This window comes from Homo sapiens, chromosome 12, assembly GCF_000001405.40.
Source record: "Homo sapiens chromosome 12, GRCh38.p14 Primary Assembly".
NCBI classification, from domain to species: domain Eukaryota; kingdom Metazoa; phylum Chordata; class Mammalia; order Primates; family Hominidae; genus Homo; species Homo sapiens.
Genome location: NC_000012.12, coordinates 13,018,654 through 13,029,003, shown reverse-complemented (window position 1 = coordinate 13,029,003; position 10,350 = coordinate 13,018,654). Strand labels below are relative to the sequence as shown.

General features: G+C 39.1%; 1 long non-coding RNA gene and 1 pseudogene across 1 annotated transcript in view; one reads left to right on the top strand and one right to left on the bottom strand.

Moving 5' to 3' along the window:
- Positions 1–6,505: 6,505 nt before the first annotated feature.
- The window catches only part of GPRC5D-AS1 (GPRC5D and HEBP1 antisense RNA 1), a 94,773-nt gene continuing 90,928 nt past the window's right edge, over positions 6,506–10,350 (bottom strand). The window contains exon 3 of the long non-coding RNA NR_149067.1: positions 6,506–6,990. This is a non-coding gene — a long non-coding RNA (GPRC5D and HEBP1 antisense RNA 1). The remainder of the gene's footprint in view (positions 6,991–10,350) is intronic.
- Positions 7,377–7,755, top strand: RPS26P46 (ribosomal protein S26 pseudogene 46; annotated as a pseudogene).

Here is a 10,350-nt window from a genome sequence, read left to right as displayed (position 1 = left end):
AGGGCACGTGGCAGATAGCCACTGTTGTAGGGCTTGGAGACTACACCTGTGACTGCCTCCCAGGAGAACTGATGCTGTCTTCTGAAGCCAGAGGGAGCAAGGCCAAATCCCTGCTCCATACATCAACCCTGAAAATGCCTGAAATATTGATGCAGGGTTCTTAGGAAATTTTGCTTAAGGTTATTTTCTTCTTTTTATCAAAAATACAGCCTGGACAGCATGGCAAGACCCCATCTCTACAAAAGAAAAAAATTAGCCAGATGTGGTGGCACATGTCTGTGATCGTAGCTACTCAGGAGGCTGAGGTGGGAGAATTGCTTGAGCTGGGAGGTTGAGGCTGCAGTGAGCTATGATCACACTCCTGTACTCCACCCTGAGCGACTCCAGACTGAGCAAGACTCTGTCTCAAAACAAAAAAGAAATTCCCCTTCCCTTTGCGTTAAGTACATGAAGTTTTGTCATTTTACTGCAAAAGGTTTTCCTTTGAGGCTAATATTTACTTCTGCAATCAAGCCTTACATTCCCTAGAGAGGTATTTCTTTATGGAGTTAATTCCTCCTGCCTCTCACAAATGTTTTCTCTCTCACTGCATGGGCTTTAGGTCTTTAAAGACCTTAGATATGGACTCTAAAAGCTGAGGAAATTTCCATTTCCACTAGTAGAGGCTTAAAGACCAAGAATGGCAATTTTCATTATTTTTCTATAGGTATTTTGTCATGAAAGAAATGGCTATTTTTAGAGAAGTGAATGTACTGGGGGTTACTTCAACCTATCTCATCACAGAACTCACTTCATGTTTTTCTACATTGGTTGGCCTGAAAAACCTGAAGTATGTTCTTATTTCTAAGAATGAAGCTATTTTCCTCATTACAAGGCCAACCTTAAATAACAGTAAACATTTTAAAGAAAGGATTTTTGCATGAAGTTTTTCTGCCTGTCTCATATAATTGCTTTCAAATTCTCTTTTTAACCTTAATTTTAATCCTCCGTTTCTGTTCTCTTGTCAGATAAATTGTTGAATATATTTTCCTCCACTCCCCAGTCTTAAAGACCAGGCATTCAAGAGTTTATTTGCTTCTGTTATGAATGTATTCCTTTTTACACCTTAGCCTTACAGATCTGTGGATTTCTTCTCTCTTTTAGTGAATGTGCAAAAAATACAAACTGGCAACATAGAAAAGAAGAGATACAACTGGGACCAATGACCAGATACTACTTTTTCAGATTATTTTTATAATGTTTTAATTTAAAAAGGGATAAAAATATATGGTTCATTTTATTCTATTTTATTTTTATTTTATTATTTTATTTTATTTTATTTTTGAGACAGGGTCTTGCCCTGTGACCCAAGCTGGAGTGCAGTGGTACAATCTTGGCTCACTGCAACCTCCACCTCCCAGGCCCAAGCCTCCCACCTCTACCTCCAGGGTAGCTGGGACCACAGGCAGGTTTCTTTTAATTTTCTCTTTTTGTGTGTATTTTTCAATGAAATAAAATATAATTTATTAATATATGTGCAAAATGAATTTCAGCTATTTCAAATAATGACATAGATCTAAATGTACTAATAATATATAAACATACCAATCATAAGTTTCAGATATATAGAGATGTAATTATCTCTCTACGTATATCTGAAATATGTATGCATTCAATATATGTGTGTATATGTAAAAATGTTAATTTGTGTTTTTAAAGTCTGGAAAGATAAATACTAAACTGTCAAGAGCCGTTATCTCTGGGAGGTATGCTGCCTTGCACCCATGAAGGGAAGGTTCTGCTATCACAGGGGAACTTTCACTTTTGACTCCTTTTTCATCTGTATTGGTAGATAATAAACATACTTCCTGTAAAAAATTGTTTAAAAGCCACCAGTACAAAAATAGAAAACAAAATACAGAGTATACTAAGGACATAGTCAATCAAGAGAAACTATATAAAAATGTAGATATTAATTTTCATCAGAAAACTTTTCTAAGATCTATTTAAGTTGTATTAACTTCCAATTATGTCATCTAGTTTAATTTTATAAACTACCTCTCCTGTTTATTTTAATGTTCATCGTATTTAACTTTGTAGGTGTTTATGCTTGACTTTATAATATTAAAACATTTTCTCTGCATAACTGTAGTGAATCATACAAGATTGAAGAGAAATAATCTGTGATGAACTTGGTATCTTTCCCCTTGTTTACCGTAGGCTGGGGAAATGTAGCTCTTGAGGAAATACTATACATGTTTACCCAAGGCAGAATTTCAGAAAGGTTTTAGAGTTAAAGCATGTCTTCACATGGAATACTTTTTGTTTCCTGGCAAGTAGTCAGTTCTTTATTTTCTTCCCCAGTATGCAGTTCCCAGCTTTGCTGAATCCCTATTTTCCCCAGTCTGAGTCTAATCAGAATCAACCTCCTTGGAATAGTTTCACAGGACATTTGAAAGAGATGATAAATCAGTTTCCCCATCTTTTTTCTCTTAAAAAAATATTCTTTCCCCTTGTTTAATTTTGAAAATCTAATAGAACTTTGAGTTCCTGCAAAGATGGAAAACTGGCATCGGTTACTGGCTTTCTTCCCCAGAATCAAACAAGGAGAAGCTCAGAAGGAAACATAGATTCCAGGAACTAATTACATCAACAGTAAGAAACCCTGGGAGAGGGAAGCTCTGCACCTGAAGGTTGGGGGGAAGAAGGGTTGACTGTAGCCCAGAAGAGAATACTGGCAGGGGACAAAGTTAGCGAGAACAAGATTGCATTTTCCTCTGCCCCTTTCCTACTCTGCTTGGAGACAATGATTGCCTACCTGTTCACCATGGAAATCAGTGAAACAGGAGTCCAGGGGCTCAAAACAGGCAACCCAAATCTCCTACATTTAGGAGTTAATAAAATCAGGGGAGAAATGACCAGCCTAGAGCGTTTACTCTTCCATTCCTTCACCAAACTCCCCGGGTATTAACTTCCAAATTATATGTCTAGCCTGGATCTCACCCTTGAATTCTAGACTAGGGTATCCAAAACTGCCTATTTGTAGTTCTTCTTGCATGTCTAATAGACATCTCAAGCAAAATATGTCCACTAAATTTCTGATATTTCCCCCAAAATTTGTTCCTTTTGCAGTCTTCCACATTGCAATGAGTGATAAATCTATCCTTCTAGTTAAGGACTCCATTACTTTCCAAATCTGCTTGCACCGTCTTCAATTTATATCTCAATAAATTCACAAAAAGAATTGTGAAGCTCTAGAAAGGAATACAATCTCTAAGCATCATTACAAAGTGAATTCCATGAAGCATGATTAAGTGAAAAAAAGCAAGGAGCAGATTAAGGTGTATAGTATTCTACCTTTTACCTAAGAAAGGAAGGAATGCGAATATATCTATCTATACATATATATAGTTTTTTTTAATGGAAGAATAACGGGCTAGGTACAGTGACTCATGCCTGTAATCCCAACATTTTGGGAGGCCGAGGTGGGAGGATTGCTTGAGCCCAGGGGTTCAAGGTTACAGGGAGCTGTGATTGTGCCATTACACTCTATCCTGGGTGACAGAGCAAGACCCTGTCTCTACAAAAACAAACAAACAAAAAACTGGAAGAATAAATTAAACTCTAATGAAAAATGGAAGGAAAAAACAAGTTGGAATAGGGTTAGAAGTTAGTTAAACTTCTCTGAATATACTTTGTTTTAGAGCTTTTGACTTACAAACCACATAAATGGTTTACATAATTAAAAAATAAAATTAAATCAAGGTGGGAAAATATCCGTTCCTAAAAATTGGAAACAAAATTAATACTAAGTTGATGGTTTAACTATTAACATATAGAGAACGTGACATCCAATTAATTCAATAACTTCAAAACATATTAATTTGACTGTACCCTCCTAGCGGGATATATTCTAAGGGAAAAGTAGAATTGCAAAGAAATCTTAAATTGTATTCAGGGATCATATTGTTAATAACAATATTGATATAGTGAGTATGAAACTATTATACACACGTAGATGATAGGGTATAGCAAATAAGTAATTTTGTAATGATGTTTGAAACAATTATATATACAAATAGAACAGGTTAAACTGTGTTAAATTAAGTTAAAGCTGCCTCCTTATGTATTTTAAGTTTGACCTAAAGGTTTCTCCTTATATAGTGAACTGTAACCTAACTGGATATGTAAACAGACTGTAACCTATCACAGGTCGCCAACTGTTGAAACCATGTTCAAACACTGAGCTGTAACCAATCCAGCTGTTTCCGTACCTCACTTCTGTTTTCTGTCCACCACTTTCCTTTTTCTGTCCATAAATATTATCCAACCACGTGACAGCTCCACAGTTGCTCCAAATCTATTCTGGATCCAGGAGATGGGAACGCTGCCTGATTTGTGAATCGCTCTTTGCTCAATTGAACTGTTTAATATGTCTAAAATTTTTCTTTTAACAAGCAAATAAGTAATTATGTTAATTAGTAAGAGTAAAGAAGTGCAAATATAAAATCAAAGAAGGTAGGTAAAGAAAAACTGTAATATTTTATTTGAATTAGAAATATGAGTACTAATTCATGAGGTATTTCTCTTTTTCATTAAACAAAAACATATTTCTAGCTCTGTCCAGGGAACAGGACTTCATACATTGACCAACCCAACAGCAACGAGGACCTCTAGTGCCAGATCGTGATCTCTGAAGGGCTCCTTGGGAAAATGGATGATTTCATGTCTGGAGCAGGAATGAGCCTAGAAGACTTTGTCATACTAGAAAACAAGAAAGCTACTAAAGTCTGCTGGATTCATGTTAAAAGGTCACAGGAACCAATTTGAAGGCACTCACAATAGCCAAAATGGGACATTATCAATAAGAATAATGAGTACAACAGACAGACTTAAATATGTTAAAATCCATAAGTTCATAATGATACTTTAAAAAAAGTCTCATTGATCATCTCTAAAGGATAAAAAAGAACCAAATGCTTTTTCCAAAAATGGAAATGTGAGAGTTATATCCCATGGGACAATCCTCGGCCAGCAACATGTAGGAGTCAGCGGTAAATATTCCCTTCTTCCCCTTCAAGTAGATGATTCTTAAGTGCGCTGCACATGACTTCCCAGACGGTCCCTAACAAGGATTAATCTCCAGTTCTCCACAGTGCCATCCACTCAGTAAGGTGCTCTTAAGTTATCTTTCCCTCCTTTCCTGCTTCATTCTTCCCTCATTCTTCTTTGGAGAATCATTTTCCAAAATAATGACCATCACACAAGCCTTGTCTCAGGCTCAGCGCTTTGAAGAAACCTAAGCTAAACAGTTGGTACTAGAAGTAGCTCTACATAATGGAATACTAGTCAGCCTTGAAAACAGAACAAGGGAATCCTGTCATTTGCAATAACATGGATGAACCTGGATGACATTTTGTTAAATGAAATAAGCCAGACCCAGAAAGACAAATACCACATGAACTCACTTATATGTGAAATCTAAAAAAATCAAACTCATTGAGGCAGAGAGTAGAATGGTGAGGGGTAGGTGGATCATTAAGGAGGATGTCAGTCAAAAGATATAAAATTTCCATTTCATAAGAGGAATAAGTTTAAGAGATCTATCACAGAATATAATGATGTTAGATGGTGATTGTGGAACATGAGTATGGTTATAACAACATGTGGTGTACTTGAAAATTGCTAAGAGTAGATTTTATGTGTTCTTGCCACAAAAAATAAGTATATGAGATAAAACATATGTTAATTCACTTGGAACTTAATGTCCTGATAAGAACACTTGGAGTCAGTCCTAAAATGCTGTTGGGATGACTCCTCGAGGCTTGGATACAGTGTCAGTCTCCCGTGAGATAGAGATGCTGGAATTGCCTCAACAGAGTATTGAGAAAGGTGTCAACAAGTCCAGAAAAGTATAAATATTAAAATCCTTTGTGATGTGAATCAGAGAACCTACCACCTGACTAGGTCCCCCAGGAAGGCCCAAGTAATAACCGGTACATAATAACAGTGGTGGTGAGGCGCCAGCATCTTTTGAGGTCAGCCATAAGTGTCCCTCAGTACATCTGTATATCACATTTGAGAGAAAGAGATTTTGCAATGGAATTGTGCTATTATCAACGGGGATGATAAGATTCAAGAATAGCAGAGACCAGATGGTGGCGTCTAATCTTAAGAGTCAAGAGGAACATAATTACTGTAATACAGACCAAAGCTAGAGTGACAGTCAAGGTTTCTTGACCTACTAGGATCTGTGGCAATGGCTAATAAGAGCAATACAGAAGGGCAACCAATTAGACTACTGCTTGGTTTATATGACCACACAAAAATTGAAAGCTAGTGAGCAAAAGGCTGATGTCAGTCACCAAATGGGTAATTACAATCCTTTGTTTCAGATCTTAGGCCAGTTCTCAGAACCAAAGCCTACTGATTGAAAAGGAAGTCTAACCTCCTTGATAAGGAATCCTGCAATGCCACTGCAAATACATACAATAAGCATGGTTGCATTCCCTCCCCAAAGGGACCTGCAGCCTTTTCCCAGATACACTAGGGAAAACGGAAATACCCAGATTTTTGAGGGCTATTAGACACACAGTCTTAGCTGATAATTCTGCCAGGGGGCCTGAAATGCCAGCATAGTCCCCAAGTTAGAGCAGAAGCTTATGAAAGCCAGGAGATATATGGAGTCCCAGTCCAAGTCTACTTCACATGGGCTACATAAACCTACCAGTGATGGTTAGGCCCCTGAGTGCATAATTGGGATGGTTATAATTAAAAACTGGAAAAGTCCTCAGATTTCTCTCTTGACCTGTTGAATAGAGCTATTATGGTAAAAATGGCCAAGTGGAAGCCTCTAAGCTCACCCATATCTTCTCTTCCAGCCATGATGGTATATCAGAAGGAAAGCCACATCTTGGAAAGAATTACAGAAATTAGTGCCACCTTTAAAAAAGGAAAGGAGGCAGGGATAGTGGTCTCCATAACATTCCAGTTTAATTTGCTTTTCTGGCCCTGAAAGAAAGAAAAAGAAAAAAATTAACTGGCTGCTGGACTACTACTATGAACTTACAAAAATTGAACCGTTATTGTAGTCCCATACCCAGCTGCTATACCATTGCCATTGCAAACCAGATACATTGCAATATGGCACATGTTACTGAAATAGACAACACAGCTCTGTATTGCTTGGTCTACATTATTGAGTTGGCAAGGGCGTTCTTTTCAATCCTCAGCAAGAAAGAGGGCCAAATGTTTTTCAGGTTTTTGCTTTTAATGTGAGATGAGCAGCAACTCCTTTACTGTTTTGCCCCAGGGCTCTGTTAACTATCCTACTCTTTGGCATATTTCACCACGGAGCAGCACTTTCACCTGACCCAGAACTCAAAGAGCTGAAGGAGTCTCCAGTCTGTACCTCCAAGACGACAAAGAAAAGAAGGAACAATGGTCGTGCCAAAATGGGCCATGGCCACATGCAGCTTATTTGCTGCACGAACTGTGCCCAATGCGTGCCCAAGGACAAGGCCATTAAGAAATTCGTCATTTGAAACATAGTGGAGGCTGCAACAGTCAGGGACATTTCTGAAATAAGCATCTTCGATGCCTATGTGCTTCCCAAGCTGTATGTGAAGCTGCATCACTGTGTGGGTTGTGCGATTCACAGCAAAGTAGTCAGGAATTGACCTCGTGAAGCCCATAGTGACCAAACACCCCCACCCAGATTTAGACCTGCGGATGCTGCCCCACGACCCCCACCAAGCCCATGTAAGGAGCTGTTTTTTGTTGTTGTTGTTGTTGTTGTTGTTGTTGTTGTTGTTGTTTTTGAGACAGAGACTTGCTCTGTCACCCAGGCTGGGGTGCAGCGGCGCGATCTCGGCACACTGCAAGCTCCGCCTCCCGGGTTGACGCCATTCTCCTGCCTCAGCCTCCCGAGTAGCTGGGACTACAGGCGCCCGCCACCACGCCTGGCTAATTTTTTGTATTTTTAGTAGAGACAGGGTTTCACCGTGTTAGCCAGGATGGTCTCGATCTCCTGACCTCGTGATCTGCCCGCCTCGGCCTCCCAAAGTGCTGGGATTACAGGCATGAGCCACCCCGCTCGGCCTAGGAGCTGCGTTCTTAAAGACTGAAGACAGACTATTCTCTGGAGAATAATAAAATGGGAATTATACTTAAAAAAAAAAATGAGCTGAAGGAGCTGAGGATCCACGCCAACAAGGTAAATCAGCAGATCAGTGATAATGTGTCTGGGTTGCAATGGCAATTGATGCCCTACACTGTCCTTTAGAGCATTAAAGGTGACTGCTTCTTCATTTCCACACTTAAAATCTTGAACAAATTTCTTTTGTGGCCAGCTCCAACCTGGAACCACACAAGGAAGGAAATTCTGAGAATTGTTTGACTTTAGCTGGGTTAAAACAGCATACAACCATGACGTCAACTTTCTTGAGTACAGTGAAAATTATCTCAGACAGTAGTTTTCAAATTTTATTGTGCAAAAGATTCACCAGACATTCTGATTGTCTGTTGCTGTATAATAATCCTCCTTCACACGAATGCCATAAAACAGCCATTTTATTATACCTAAGGATTCTATGGGTCAAGAATTCCGACAAAGCGCAGTGAGGATAGCAAGTCTCTGCTTCACAATGTCTGGGCGATGCCACTGGAAAGGTTTAAGCAGTTGGGGATGTCTCAAATGTCTGCGGATGAAGTCTTCTTCACTGACATGTCTGGTACCTGGGCTAGGATGATTCGAATGTTGGGCTTAACTGGGATTATCAACCAAGCTTTTTCATGTGGCCTCTCCATGTGGCTTAGGTGTTCTCACAGCATGGCAGCCTTCTTACATGATGGCCCAGGGCTCCAAGGGCAAGTGTACCGGCAAACAATGCAGTAGCTGCACGGCCTCTCTGACTTAACTCAAAAGTCATGCTCCGTCATTTCTGCCACCTTCTATTAGTTATATAAGTGAGTGGCTGAAGCAAGTCCAGATTCAAGGGGAAGTGGAGGTAGACCCCACCTCTCAATGGAAAGAACATCAAAGAACTTGAGGTCATCTATCACACTGAAACCTTCAAAATGCAGATTCCATCTTTTCAATTAAATACGGTGGTATAAAAGCAGAATTTCTCTATTGCCTCTTAGAAAATTATCCAAAAATAGCAAGGAGAAGGAGAAACGCAAATACAAACATAATACTTAACAGTTAAAACCTTGAACCTCAAAGTATGCAAAAGAATGCCAAAGGTAGAGAAGATTAAGCAGGGATTCAAAAAAATTCAGAGAGGGAGCAATCACTCAGGATTGTACATCTCAGAAAGAAGTGGCAAAGACATTTCACCAAGGTTAAGGGCATGCACTGAAGTACAAAATCAAAATCACTTGTTTGCACCAATGGGAGCTGGGATGCACAGGTCGATTTTTAAAAATTATGTAGGTTTAAAAGAAGAATCCCTTGATGCAGCCATATTCACTTCCTCCACATTCTCTTCCTCTTCTCCTCCTTCTCATCATCTGTCCATGGAGTATTAAGAAAAGAGACAATTTACATTGGGAACAGATTTTATCTGGTTGGGTGTGGGAAAGGCTAAATAAACTCCCATATAAACCTGAGAATTGTTTCTTAAAATTTCCATAGCTTGAAACACATTCTTGCCCCTTTTCCACATTGACTTACCATGAATCGCTGATACAGTAAACACTGTATTCATTTTAAACTAAGTATTCAAGGGCTGGGCACAGTGGCTCATGCCTGTAATCCCAGCACTTTGGGAGGCAGAGGTGGGTGGATCACTTAAGGTCAGGAGTTCGAGACCAGCTTGGCCAACATGGTAAAACCCCATCTCTACTAAAAACACAACAATTAGCCAGGCGTGATGGTGCATGCCTGTAATTCCAGCTACTTGGGAGGCTGAGGAAGGAGAATCCCTTGAACCCAGGAGGCGGAGGTTGCAGTGAGCCGAGATCACAAAACTGCACTCCAGCCTGGGTGACAGAGCAAGATTCAGTCTCAAAAAAACAAAACAAAAAAAAAACAAGTTTTCAAAATAGAACCAACACAGGAGCTGTCTAGAAATATAAGAGGAAAAAAAATCAAGAAAAGGAACAGAAAAAGAATGGGCCAAAAAACACCAGAAAAAATATCCCTATAGAGCAGGTGAAAATTTAGGCCAAATATTTTGTCATGAATTATAAAAATTTAATGAAACAATTATCACTGTAGAACAAAACTAAAAAGCAGAAATACAAAAACTCAACAGAGCTCAGTTAGAAGCAGAAATAAAAATATCAGAGAAATGAAAAAAATGAGGGAAAGAATAGACTACGGAAACTGAAAAAGAAGGCAGGAATGAGAAAAGCAAGCAGAGCTGA